The 14,958-nt window shown below is 39.0% G+C and overlaps 2 pseudogenes; one reads left to right on the top strand and one right to left on the bottom strand.

The window, feature by feature from the left end:
• RPL10AP11 (ribosomal protein L10a pseudogene 11) lies at positions 563-1,268 on the top strand (annotated as a pseudogene).
• NATP (N-acetyltransferase pseudogene) lies at positions 12,633-14,601 on the bottom strand (annotated as a pseudogene).

Below are 14,958 nucleotides of genomic sequence, written 5' to 3'. Positions count from 1 at the left end.
AAATCAAGGTATATCTAGAATATTGGACAATATGATATGTAAGTTATAGAAGTGGCTGGAATTGAATTATTCTCAGGTTTTTTATTTGTAAGGAGTAAAAGTTAGAATTTAAATATGCATATTCTAAGATAACCACCAAAAGATAGAAACGGTATAAACTAAAAGGGAAAAACATGGAATGAGGTGGAAAGATCTCAATCCAGCAGGAGGGCAGAGAGAGGGAAAGAATAAAACCTAGGAACTAAGTGAGGTGAATGGAAGATACAAACTATGATGGAAGAATTAAATCCAAATCTATAGGCAATCAACATGAATGCAAATTGATTAAACTCAGATGAATTTTGGTGGCATGTAAATAATAATAAAGCTGTAAATAAAAGTCTTTTGACTCTCCAAAGAGACAAAGATTGTAATGCCCTCCGAAAAATTATAAAAATGAATCACCCTGAGGTTATAACATCTTTCTACAGCTTCCAAATGAGTCATAAACTCCAATATCTCCATCTTCAGCTGGATGATTAGATATCATTTGGGGGATTCCCTCCATTAAAAAGAGGTCTTGCTCTTTTATGGTTAGTGCTGTGTGAGAAGCCATGAGCAGCAGGGTCTCTGGCGACACTTGGTACCAGGCAGTGCAAAGAGTCCTGGGAGGGAACCAGCACAAGCGCCAGAAGTTTTTGGAGACCGTGGAGTTGCAGATCAGCTTGAAGAACTATGATCCCCAGAAGGACAAATGCTTCTCAGTCTTAAGTCCACTCCCCACTCCAAGTTCTCCCTCTGTTCTTTGGGGGACCAGCAGCACCGTGAAGAGGCAAGGGCCGTGGGTATCCCCGACGTGAACATCGAGATGATGAAAGAACTCAACGAGAGTAAGAAACTGGTCAATACGCTGGACAAGAAGAATGACGCATTTGTGGCTTCAGAGTCTCTGATCAAGCAGATCCCACGAATCCTCGGCCCAGGCCTAAATAAGGCAGGAAAGTTCCCTTCTCTGCTCACACACAACGAAAACATGGTGGCCAAAGGGGACGAGGTGAAGTCCACAATCAAGTTCCAAATGAAGAAGGTGTTATGTCTGGCTGTGACTGTTGGCCATGTGAAGATGACAGGCGATGAGTTTGTGTAAAACATTCACCTGGCTGTCAACTTCTTGGTGTCATTGCTCAAGAAAAACTGGCAGAATGTCTGGGCCTTATATATCAAAAGCACCGTGGGCAAGCCCCAGCGCCTATATTACGGCACATTTGAATGAACTCTACTGCTACCAGAAAAAAAAAAAAAAAATCTCTATCAAATCTTGTTAACTAATCTTTGTGCTGTTAAATTTTGAGGCTTTGACCCCTGGGTACACCTATCTCATCTAAAAGGGGATACATGACTTCTATTGAATCTTAAATGTCAACCCTGGTATCTGACACTAAATTCAAGTTAACTGAAGCTTCATCTTCAGACCTGGGAGAAGATGACAGTCAAAATAAACTGCTTTCATATGACACTGGGCCAGTTAAATCATAACTATTGATTTAGTAATTTTTCCTTCATCTTAATATACTTTGTTCTATGCCTTAATGCCAGATAATTTGAATTGTCCAGATACCTATGAGTTTCCTTTTCCTGTCATTGTCAGAGCTAGGCTGCGCTTATGTCCTTTTTGTTTAAAACATTGCTTATTCTATACATGGCTTACAAAATGGGGTAGGACAACAAAGATTACCTTTCTCCTCTCTATCTGATATCTCTGAAGTTTAAAAACCATTTAGAATCCACTGAGCTTGATCTATTTTCATTGCTAATGCTCCACTGCTGAAACTGTATAAACACCTTCCCTCTAGGCCCAGCCACTATCACAGAAGAGGTGGAAATGTGAGACTGTAAGGGCCAAATTTGAGGGATAAAAATTATTGATGCTGCTTCTTGGTTGGTGAAAGAAAAATTAAGTTAGATCCTCTAAATCAAAGACAGGCCTACAGATGCTTAAATAGCTGGCAAAATAAGGGACTTTGCTTCCTGGGTCATTGTATGACCCCTTTTTAGCCATCCAAACCATAAAGAATTTCCTACTTCTCACAGAATTAAAAGAAAATTACTAAGAAGATATCAAGATACCTGGTTACAAAGCCTCCTGGGTGTAATGCCCCCAGTTATGAGGTTTATGCAGATAGATATATACAATTTTTTTAATCAGCCACCTTAGAACAAATTACTAAAAAGGCTGCAAAAAGCATTGTGGCACAACAGAAGTCTCAAAACTTAGCTTAAAGGTCTTAACAGAATGCCTGTGTTTTGTATAGCTAGTTGCCATAAGTATGTAACTAAAACCATGACATTAGCTCAATGCATGGAATTGATAGTTAAGTCAATTTTGTTACCTTGCCTTTTGACTTTTGGTTCTTGACTGTTATGTTACAACTCTCTGCATAATTCTGTAATTCTTTGCATTAGCCACACCAAAGTAGCCATTTCCTGAATCCCATTTTTTCTTATCTGTATGTCTGAGTGCAGTGAATTCTATAGCCTCAACACATTATATTGTAGGTTCATTTCAGAAAAATGTATTATCTCTATATACTTTTATCAAGCAGATGCTAGTTACATGGTTAGTATCCAATAAGTGCTGATTAAGTGAATGCATTCACAACCCAGTCAGAGATGAAGTGAGGCAAACAAATAAATAACACGCCATGACAGACTCTGAAATGGCCAGGCATACTAGGTATAATTGGAACACAAATGAAGAAGCCATTATTTGTGTCTCGGTGACCTGAAAAAAGGTTTCACAGAAAGGAGCATTTTAACAGAGATATAAAAATGAATTCAAATTTGTTTATGCTTCTCTAGGCCTATGTTGCCTTTCTTGGGGCATGAAAAGCACAAATTAGGATTGGGAATTGGGAATGAGCATGAGCTGGGGTGACCCCGGAGAGGGATGGAGGGGCTTCAGACCAGGGGTGGCTTCCAGGAGAGTGACAGGAGTAAAAATGTAAAAGTAGGTTAGGGCTTGAATTGATTACCCTTTTCAGACTTCTTGGCCTGTAGAAATCCTAAGAGCTCAAATGTTACCCCCTATGATGCATTCTCAGAAGTGTCAGTCAGAATTAATCCCGTTTTCTCTTTGCCAGGAGACAAAAACTAAATGTGCATTACAACAAGCAGTAAAAGAAACATGTTTTTAGGTCAACATTCGTTGTTTTCGTATCAGTTTCCTCCCTGAAGGAGAAGTGAAGGCTTTGTCTGTCTCATTTCTCACAGTGCCTGACTGAGGAGCTTGGCATACGTTTCCTGGGTGTTGAACAAATGCAGGGATTGGCTTTTCATTGCACGGGAGTGAAATTCAGTCCGAATTGTTTTGCTGCTCCTCAGACTCACCAGCTCTACAGCCTCCCACCTCATGGCAGCCAAGCCCATCCCTCCCTTCCTGTCCATCCGTTTTCATCCATGTCCCTGTCTCCTGGAAGCTTGTAGTTCCCACGCCAGAGACTGAAGCAGAGCAATCCTAATGGCTCAGTGTGACCTTTTTCCTGACTTCCTCAGTATTTGTTTATGCTGCAATCTGCAGTCTTCAGCCTGCCAGCCTGCCACGCTGGAGTCTGCCCCTTGGCCGAACCCTCTTTTCTTGCCCTTTGAAATTTTGGTTTCACCGTATCTAGCAGGCACCCTGGTGGCTGCTCCTCACATAGGAGGTCAACACTCCTGGAGGAAGCAGACTTTGTTCACTACCCTGGGGCTGGGCTGCTAGAGGCTGGTCACCACGGAATGCAGGGACAGCCCTCATTGGCTGTTCTTTCCTAGTCTTTGCTTCTCCCATCCCTCAGGGCTGGCCAGCCACACCCTGCATGGTGGTGTGGCCTGGAGTACCAGCTCAGTTTGTTTAATCTTTAACTTGTTTACAGACAAAATCTAATATGGTTTGGCTCTGTGTCCCCACCCAAATCTCAACTTGAATTGTAATCCCCATAATCCCCACGTGCTGAGGGAGAGACCCGGTGGGAGGTGATTGGATCATGGGGTGGTTCCCCCATGCTGTTCTTACGATAGTGAGTGAGTTCTCGTGAGATCTGATGGTTTTATAAGTGTTTTGCAGTTCCTCCTTCGCTCTCTCTCTTTCCTGCCACCGCGTGAAAAAGGTACTTGCTTCTCCTTTGCCTTCTGCCATGATTGTAGGTTTCCTGAGGCCTCCCCAGCCACTCAGAACTGTGAGTCAATTAAACCTCTTTCCTTTATAAATTACCCAGCCTTGGGTATTTCTTCATAGCAGTGTGAAAGCCGACTAATACAGAATCCCTTTCTTGGGGATGGACAAGACTGGGTGAAAGGGCAGGAAGAGTGACAAAGTCCCTACCCATCAGAGTGAGTGTGTGACTTGAGGATGCTTGGGTGTAAAGGGCTCTTTCTTAATTTGCAAACTGAGGGTGTTGGTGCCAAGTGTGTCTACAATTCCTTTCCCCCTCATATTTTTTTATGATTCTATGAATGCAACAAAGAGAGCATGTACTGGGGAAACAATGAGATAATTCATTGTTAGATTATTCCATTAAAAGGTTGAATTCAGTCAAGCCATTGCTTTATAACTGGTGCATTTCAAATCCATTGTTATTTCTGGTTCCCTTCCCCAAACTAATTTCCACCCCCTTCCTCTGACACCCACCCCCCATCACTAAAGGCATATGCCCACTTCTCCCTTGGTCTGCAGGGCTGACTAGCTGGTTGGGAGCAGCAGGAGCCAGGGAATCGCACAGGGAGGTTGACTCTCTCTCCCAGGGCCAGTGCTGTTCATGTCCATTTCCACCTCACACTAGGCGGCTACCACCAATTCAGGAGCCTGCTTGATGTGGGTGTGGAGTGGGGTAAAGTTGACCCCAGTAGCACAGCTATATGTAGATTCCCTTCCAAGAATAAAGCATATATTTATACCTCATGCCATCATTCAATAATAAGTTTTGAACGCTACTTTTGTCAGGCACTGTGCTAACAGAGCCTGGAATGATTCATTCATGTATCCAACAAATATTTACTGCATGCCTCCTGGATAAATGAAAAATGAGGCAGAGTCCCTGCCTACTGTGAACCTAGTTTAAACCTCCATGAGAAGGAGGGAAACTCCCTTCATGCTTATAATCTGCCCAGATCTCTATTCATTCTTGAGTCGTATGTGGACCTGCATATCTTTACTGAACCCCCTTGTAGACTGCCTGTGCTCATCGGGCAACATAATTTTGACCCCAGAAGTTTTTCACACTGATTATTCCACAAAAAAGCTGTCTTAAGGCATTTGATCATCTCCCCAAGTTTTCTTGCTTAAGAGAGATTTCAAAACCTCTATCTCTACACAGTCTGGCCAATAATCTTCTCTGATGAATAAGACAATACCACAGTACTGGTTTAGTTCTTGTCTTACTTGTCAGAGAAGATGACTAAACCCCTGGAAAATAATGAGATAATCTAAAGGAGTTAGATCATTTGCCAAGAAAAAAGAGAACAGGAAGCCCACACTTATTTGCCCATTCAAGGATTCATATCTTCCACCCCTTTAATAAAGCTCTGTAGAGTGTTGATTCATTTGAAAGCATTTTCAGGTTCTGTTAGAATGTATGGCATAACAACTCCCCCAAATCAGTGGCCTGATAGAGTGAAAGTTTAGTACTAATGATTAAATTGTAACTATTGCAGTTATTCTGAAAAACACATAGAAAAAAAAAACAAACTAATAATTATTTACAGAGAAAGCAGCTGGATGGTGTTACAGATCACCAAAACAGCATTTGAACTCACCGTTCCTTAAGTTTCTGAAAAACAGGATAGGTTCCTATTAAGAAGCTCACCTTCCTGCTGTTAGAATGAAATAATAGGTTGTCCAATTTGTTGGTGAATGGTTTTTCATAGTTGTCTCTTATGATCTTTGATTTCTGTGCTATCAATTATAATATCACTTCTTACATTTCTGATTTTGACCTTTCTTTTTTCTAGCTAAAATTTTGTCAGTTTGTTTTGCTTTTCAAAAAAACTCAACTTTTATTTTGGATGATATTTTCTGAAGTTTTTCTACTTTCTATTTCCTTTATATATTCTCTGATCTTTGTGATTTCTTTTCTTCTGCTAACTTTAGTCATAGGTTGTTCTTTTTTTAGTTCTGTGGGATGTAACATTAGTTTTTTCATTTGACAACTTTTCTTCTTTTTTCATATAGGTGTAATGCTATAAACTTCCCTTTTAGAGCTGCTTTTGTCTCAAGATATTTTTTAGTTTCCCCTTTAATTTCTTCATTGACCCGATCATTGTTTAGGAGCATATTGTTTAATTTCCACAAACTTGTTCATTTTCAATGACTCCTCCTGTTACTGATTTCTAGTTTCATACCAGTGTAGTCAGAAAAGATCATTGATATGATTTTGGTCTTCTCAAATTTGTTAAAACTTGTTTTGTGGCCTAACATATGGTCTTTGCTGGAGAGTGTTCTGTGTTACCTTGAGAAGATTCTGTTTGTGTTGGGTGGGATGTTCTGTGTATGTCTAGTAGGTCCATTTGGTCTAGAGTATCAAATTAAGTCTGATATAATTTGGTTGTTTGTCCCCCTAAATCTCATGTTAAATTGTACTCCCCAACATTGGAGGTGGGACCTGATGGGACATGAGTGAATCATGGGAGTGGATTGCTCATTAATGGTCTAGCACCATCCTCTTAGTGCCGTCCTTGCAATAGTGAGTGAGTTCTCGCAAGATCTGGTTGTTTAAAAGTGTGTCACACTTTCTCCTGTCTCTCTCTTGCTCCTATTGTGGCCGTGTGATGTGTCTGGTCCCAGTTCACCTTCTAGCATGAATAAAAGTTCTCTGAGGCCTCCCTAGAAGCCGAGCAGATCACAGTGCCATGCTTGTGTAGCCTGCAGAACTGTGAGCCAATTAAACCTCTTTTATTTATAAATCACTCAGTCTCAGGTATTCCTTTATAACAATGCAAGAGCAGCCTAACACAAAGTCTGATGTTTACTTCCTGGTTTTCCATCTGGATATCTCTTCATTGCTGAAAATGGGGTGTTGAAGTTGCCCACTATTACTGTATTGCAGTCTATCTCTCCTTTCAGATCTATTAATATTTGCTTCATACATTTAGGTGCTCTGATCTTGGGTGCATACAGGTTTACAATTAATATGTCCTCTTACAAAATCGACCCCTTTATTATTAGGTAATGACCTTTTTTTGTCTCTTTTTACAATTTTTGACATAAAGTCTATTTTATCTGATATAGCTCCTCTTGCTCTTTTCTGGATTCCCTTTGCGTGGAATATCTTTTTCTAACTCTCCACTTTCAGTCCATGTGTGTCCTTACAGGAAAAACAGGGTGTCTCTTGTAGGCAGCATAGAGTTGGGTCTTGTTTTTTCATCCATTCAACTACTCTGTGACTTGATTGGAGAATTAAATTCATTTATATTCACGTAATTACTGCTAGGTAAGAACTTACTAGTGCCATTTTGTTCATTGTTTTCTGGCTGTTTTGTAGATCCTTTGTTTGTTTCTTCCTTTCTTGCCTTCTTCCTTTGTGGTTTGATAACTTTCTGTAATGATATGAGTTGGATATTTTCTTTTGATGTTTTGTGTATGTTTTATAGACCTTTGCTTTGTTGTTATGCTGAGGCTTACAGAAAACACCTTATACATGTAACAGGCTATTTTAGGTGTTAGCAGCTTAATTTTGGGGATGGGTAGTGAATTGCTTTTTAAAATTGTCATTTATTTATTGATACATAATAATTGTACGTATTTATGGGGAACATGTGACATTTTGTTTCAACGTTTAATGATCAAGTCAGGGTAATAGGATATTTACCACCTTAAACATTTGTTATTTCATTGTGTTAGGAACATGCCAAATCTCTTGAAATATATGATAATTATTGTTAACCATGATCAACCTACTAGATGTGCTGTTGAATATCAGAATTTACTTCTTGTATCTAACGGTATTTTTATATCCATTACCAAACCTCTCTTCATCCCCCTATTCCCTACCCTTTCCAGCCTCTGGTAACCATAATTCTATTCACCATTTTCGTGGGATAACTTAATATGTGATATTTATCTTTAAGTTCTTGGCTTATTTCACTGAACATAATGCCCTCTGGTTCCATCATTGTTGTTGGGAAGGACTGGATTTCATTATATTTTATGACTGAATAATATTCCATTGTGAATATATACAGCATCCTTTCTTACCCATTCATCTGTTGATGGACATTTAGGCTGATTTCATATCTTGGGTATTGTGAATAATACTGATAACAATGTGATTTTAATCACATATATAAGCTCTACAGTTTTAATCCTCTTCCTCCTATGTTTTATGTTTTTGATGTCACAATTTACATCTTTTCAGCATTTGTATCCCTTAAGAAATTATTGTAGCTTTAGTCATTTTTAATCGTTTTGACCTTTAACCTTTATACTGAAGACATGATTGACTTACCCATTGTCATTACAGTGTTAGAGTGTACTGGATTTTAAAACAGTCTTACTTTTATCAGTAAGATTTATATTTTCATGTTACTAATTACCATTTTTCTCCATCTTGAAGAACTACCTTTGAAATTTTTACAATGCAAGTCTAGTGGTGATAAACTCTCAACTTTTGCTTGTCTGACGAAGTTTTTTCAATCCTTCATTTTTGAAAGACATGATTTCTGGGTATAGTATTCTTAGTTGGCTTCCCCCTACTAGGTCTTGAATATATCATCTTACTCCTTTCTGGCCTACAAGATTTTGGATGAAAAAATCTGCTGATACTATCACTGGGATTTCCTTGTACATAACAATTTGCATTTCTCTAGCTGCTTTAAAAACTCTCTCTTTGTCTTTAACTTTTGACAATTTGAGTATGATGTTTCTCAATGTATGCCTCTTTTGAGTCACCTTGTTTGGTGCTTTGAACTCCTTAAGTTAGTATTTCTATTTCCTTCTACAGGCTTGGGAAGTTTTCTTTCATTATCTCTTTGAATATGGTTAATGTCACTTTCTCTTTTCTGGTACATCAATAACACATATGATGTACAGCCTGACGCTGTTCCATACATCTCTTAAGTTATCTTCAGTATTTTTCATTCTTTTCTATTTTTGCTCCTCAGATTGGATGACTTTAACTGACTTGCTTTTGAGTTCACTGATCCTTTCTTCTGCTTGATCTAGCCTGCTGTTGAACCACTTTATTGGATTTTTCATTTCAGTTATAGTATTCTTCAGTGCTATAATTTCTGTTTGGTACTTCTTAAAAATTTTCTCTCTCTTCGTTGAAATTCTCAGTTTATTCTTACATTGCTCTCCTGACCTCAGTAAGCATCTTTATTATCTTTATTCTGAATTCCCTGTGAAGTAAATCACATATCTCCACATCACTTGGGTTGGATTTGGGAGATTTATATTGTTCTTAAATGGGAATATATATCCCTGTTTCCTCATTTTCTTTGACCTTCTGTGTTGGTTTCTACACATTAGATAACTGCCTCTGCCAGATTTTTTTAGTGAAAACGTATGTCTATTGATCCCTCCTGGAAAGGGTTTGTTCACATGATGAGCATTCCACTATTTCAACTTCCATCTGATATGACATCCTAAACCTCTTAGGTCTTGGAGTAGAGAGAAGTAGACATACGTAAGTCTCCCTAGATCACAGGAAAAAGTGGCGATTTTATACAGGTTTGTAAGCATTTCTAGGGACCTCATGCCCCAGGAGCAGTGCATAAAAGGGGCTTAAACATGCAGCTACCTGTTACTTCCTGGAATGGGTTTATGGCACACTGTTCCAGTGGCTACTTGGGGGTCTGGTTTCTAATGTGCATTGGGGAGAAAGGGGGCAGATAGCCGCCTGGTAGCCTCAGAAACACAATGGCTTTTCCAGAGCTTTCTCCCCTGGCTCACACTACTGATAAATCCAGGCCCATTAATCCCACCTGGAATGAGTTTGTCCTCATATTGAGTGCCCCACCTTTTATAGTTTTAACACAAGGGGCTGCATCCTAAACCTCCTAGCTCTGGGAGTAGAGAGGGCTAGGCATATACAACACTCTGTAGGCCACAGAAAAAAGTGGCAGTTTTATATGAGCGTGCACACACTTCCAGGGACTTCATTCAGTGGAGGAATGTAGAGAAGGGGCTCTAAAATGCAGTTCCCTGTTCATTCCCAAATGGGGTTTGAGCCATGCATTGAGTTCCCAAACTCTTATAGTTACCACTTGATTGACTGCATCCTAAAAACCTTCCAACTCTAGGAACGGGAGAATGCACACGTGAGTCTTTCTAGATTACAGAACAAATAGGTGGTTTTCAGTGGGAGTCTAAGCACTTCCAGGGGCTCCATCCCCAGAGTGCTGTTCAGAAAAGAGGCTGGAATGCACAGCTCCCATCTTCTTTCTAGAAGGGGTTTTCTGTACATTCTTTCAGTGACTATTTGACAGCCTGGCTTCTAATGAATTTGTATTAGTGAGCTAATAGAGTAGACAAACAGTAACCCTCCTGCAGTCTGAGTCACAGCATGGTACTTTCTGAGCCTTTCTTCTGGCTTACCCCAGTAATAAATCTAGTCCTATTCATGTTTTCTTGAAGAAGTTGTCTCACACATCAAGTGCGACAAATTCTATAGCTCCCATTAAAGACACTTTCTCCCAGTGACCTAGCTATCGGAGTCAGTGGGGCTTTGCATTCCTGAATATCCCTAAGCCTCAGAAAACAAACAGGTGGGCTCACTTCCAGTGGGTATCTCCCTAGGGTCAGAGGCTACCACCTGAATACCAATATACACGCTTGTCCCAGATCATCTGCCTTGCTTAATGCACAGAGAGTGGGAGATTAACACATACACACTCAGCTTCACTGTGAAGGTAGAGGAAATAGCATACACACTTAACACCTCAACCTTTCCAACTAGATCTTCTAACTTACTTGTCTCAGGGTTCTGACACGACATGGCATATCCTACTCTTCAGAGGGCCACCAAAAATAGAGACAACGTTTTGGACAAATGCAAAGAATCAACATCCACCTCAAAATCTTTAGCCAAATCAATTGGTGAGATTCTTTTCCTTCATTCATTTAGATTCCATTTGAAAAAGGTTAACATTGCATAGTAAAAGCAGAAGTCTTCAATCTGCAAGCTAAATTGTATATTTGAGTCTTTTTGAACATATTTTTGCTTTTCCCCCTATGTGACAGATATATTCAAGAAAAAAAATTGCATTTGGGTTACAGGATATTCATTGTGCAACATGACTTACTTGACTCATTGTATAAAACTGCATCATTTTCTTTGAGCCACATTTTGATCTGGTTTGAGTTTTTTGCCAGCATTTCCTCCATTGGCCTGATCTTGGTTGGAATATGAGAAAGTTCTTTCTGCTCGAGAGTACCAGAAGTGACGTGGCATTATTGCAAGACAGCAACATAGCTGAACAAGGCCCATCAGTAAGGAAGATGGCAAGCTTTCAAATATTGACATATCTCTTTCATTCTTTCTTCTCACTGAGACCAGGTCTCATACCCACCACTTCTTAGGAAATCCTTGATATTAGTCTGTTCTCATGCTGCTAATAAAGACATACCTGAGACTGGGTAAATTATAAAGAAAAAGAGGTTTAATGGACACACAGTTCCACATGGCTGGGGAGGCCTCACAGTTATGGCAGAAGGTGAAGGAGGAGCAAAGGTACATCTCTCATGGTGGCAGGCAAAAGAGTATGTGCAGGGGAACTGCCCTTTATAAAACCATCAGATCTTGTGAGACTTATTCACTATCATGAGAACAGCATGGGAGAAACGTGCACCCATGATTCAGTTACCTCCCACTGGGTCCCTCCCACAACATGTAGGGATTATGGGAACTACAATTCAAAATGAGATTTGGGTGGGGATACAGTCAAAGCATATCATTCACACTCGCCAGTATCTCCCAACTATTATATTGCTGTCTAAAATACTGATGCTCCAATGTATCTTATTTTCTTAACGAATATTTCTCCATTCTGGTCCCTGCTTTTCTCTTAAGCTTATTAAAATGATCACAAGTTGAAGAGAAAGAGAGTAACGTAAGAATCAGTCTGAAGTTTAAACTATAGCCCTGATACTGGAATCTACGAACAGAAAATCTGAGTTATGGATAAGTAAACATTCAGATTCTGAAACACAAGACACACGCTTAGATCCAGGGCATCTGATTTTCTATCAATATTTAATCAAGGAAGAAGCAGGCAGATGAAACTGGAGCCAGAATTTCAAACTGTAGGGAAATAAAGCAAGATGGAAGGAGAACTTTGATCAAATGCTGATCTAGTACTAAAACATTACTGACATTATTCATTCATCCATGTAGCAAATATTTTTTTGAAAGTTTACTCCAGGTCTGGCACTGAATTGTATAAATATTATCCTCATTTTATCTTTGAGAAATCAGAGCTACAGTTTTAAAAAATAATTCACCCAGTGTCCACAGGATTTCAAATCGAATTTATATACCAAAACCATGTTCTTTTTCTTATGGCAAAGTTTGGAAGAAAGTAAAAGAATATAACCAGGAGACAAGAGAAAGGATGAGAGGGAAGACTTTATTGAGGAAAAACACCTAGTCCCATAATAGCCTAAGTCTCCTAAAGAAAAACTTGAATTCACATTATATTATCCAACAATCTTTTCATATGCTTTATAGACAATTAGTTTTTCCGTAATATTCTATTCACTCATTTACCAGTAAAAATTTTCTATAAAGTCAACAAAAAACCCGCATTAAATATTTTCTCACACAAATCACTATGGTTCCCAAGATAATCACAGGTCATCCTTAAAATGCTTTTATGTTCATGAGTTTGAAAATGTGTGGTTATCATTCTTTAAAATGATGTTTAATGATATATGCTGGCATTTTTATTGGTGAAATGATTTGATATATAGAATTTTCCTCCAAATAATGTGAGGGTATAGAGGATATATGATAGGACATCGGTTGATAATTAGTGAGCTGGCTAATAAATGCACAAGGATTTATTTTGTTTCTTACTCTAAATAGTAAAAGATGAATCACCATGTTTGGGCATGAGTTTTCCCTCTAAGGATATATTAAACATATTCTTCAGTCATTCTTCAACTTCTTCCTATTTCAGAATTTAAAACTCTACGAGATCCATATTGTCCTTATAGCAGAATCTCCTACAGTTGAGAGTGAAGCCCACCAAGCAGTGCATACCTTCTGGGGTTTGCACAGAACAAAATAATGTGCTTGTAAATGGAGATGTTGGAGATGTCTACAGGTATGTACTCACAGACTCAAAATCTTCAATTGTTCAGGATTCAGGAGTAAAGGAGTAGATTTTTTTTTGTTATTTCTTTTCTTCCCGGAGATCAGAATTAAGAAAATCTTAGTTTGAAATGTGCTGACATCTTCTAAGGTGATCCAGGTAGCAGAATCCACTCTCTCTCTCAAGCAGAAAATGAGTGACACCTGAGGCTGATCCTTCCCAGAAATAAACCCCAGAGGCTGCCACATCTGGAAGGAGCTTCCAAACTGACCATCAGTGATGTGGTACTTGCCGTTAACGGTCACCTGCAGAAGAAGGTGAACCATGTCAGCGCTATATTTTTTGGCCAGAGGGATATAAACATTCCCTGCCAATATCGTGGTCTCAAAGCCAGTTGTGGTCAGAGCCCTTTACAGAAATCGATCAACCCAGAGACACCACCCACCCTGGGGGTCTTCTTATAACGTGATAAAAAAAAATGGACTTTAAGCCCTACTCCATGTGTTCCCCACAATGCATGCTAAAGTTCTCAGAGGGAACAGCTCAGACCTGTTGCTGAAGATAGCAGTTAATATTTCCAAGTTTAATTTGTTCCTAGAGTTCTTATAACCAGTTCTTTCAAAATATACTGTAATGTCCATGATCCCTTAAACAAGGAAAACAAAGACAAATAACATTACTTTTGCCCTTAGATTCCCTTGAGTAGGGTAATTATAGGTATAACATATTTTGAATATGTAAAAACACAATGATTATAAGTATCTGTCATAATAATTATTTTGTTAGTACTTTTATTGCATGAATTTCTCTTACATGCCTAAGTTCACTTTATAGTCTCAGAACCCTGTAAGAAAAGTACTATTGTACCTTCTGTCTCCCACCAACAATGTATAAGCATTCCTTTTTCTCTGCGTCCTTGCCAGCACATTATTGTTTGACTTTTTGATAATAGCCATTCTAACTCATGTGAAATGGTGTGTTACTGTGGTTTGGGTTTGCATTTCTCTAATGGTCAGTGAGGTTCAGCTTTTTTTCATATGTTGGTTGGCTGCATGCATGTCTTCTTTTGAAAAGCATGTGTTCATGCCCTTTGCCCAGATTTTCATGGGGTTGCTTGCTTTTTTCTTTTAAATTTAAGTTTCTTATAGATTCTGGATATTAGACCCTTGCTGGATGCATAGTTTGCAAATATTTTCTCCCACTCTGTAGGTTATCTGCTTACTCTATTGATAGTTTCTATTGCTGTGTACAAGCACTTTAGTTTGAGTCCCACTAATCAATTTTTTGTTTTGTTGCAATTGCTTTTGGCATCTTCAACAGAAAAGGTCTATGTCTAGAACGGTATTTCCTAGGTTTTCTTTCAGGGTTGTTATAGTTTTAGGTCTTACATTTAAATCTTTAACCCATCTTGAATGGATTTCTGTATATGGTATAGGAGGGGATCCGGTTTTCAATCTTCTGCATATGGCTAATTATTTCAGCACCATTTATTGACTTAAGTTTTCCTTTCCTCCATTGCTTGTTTTTGTCAGCTTTGTCAAAGATCAGATGGTTGTAGGTGTGTGGCTTCATTTCTGGGATCTGTATTCTGTTCCATTGTCTATGTGTCTATATTCGTACCGGTACCATGCTCTTTTGGTTACTGTGGACTTGTAGCATCGTTTGAACTCAGGTTATGTGATGCCTCCAGTTTTG

The sequence above is a fragment of the Homo sapiens genome, chromosome 8 (genome assembly GCF_000001405.40).
Source record: "Homo sapiens chromosome 8, GRCh38.p14 Primary Assembly".
NCBI classification, from domain to species: domain Eukaryota; kingdom Metazoa; phylum Chordata; class Mammalia; order Primates; family Hominidae; genus Homo; species Homo sapiens.
This window is presented reverse-complemented; position numbering and strand designations above follow the sequence as displayed.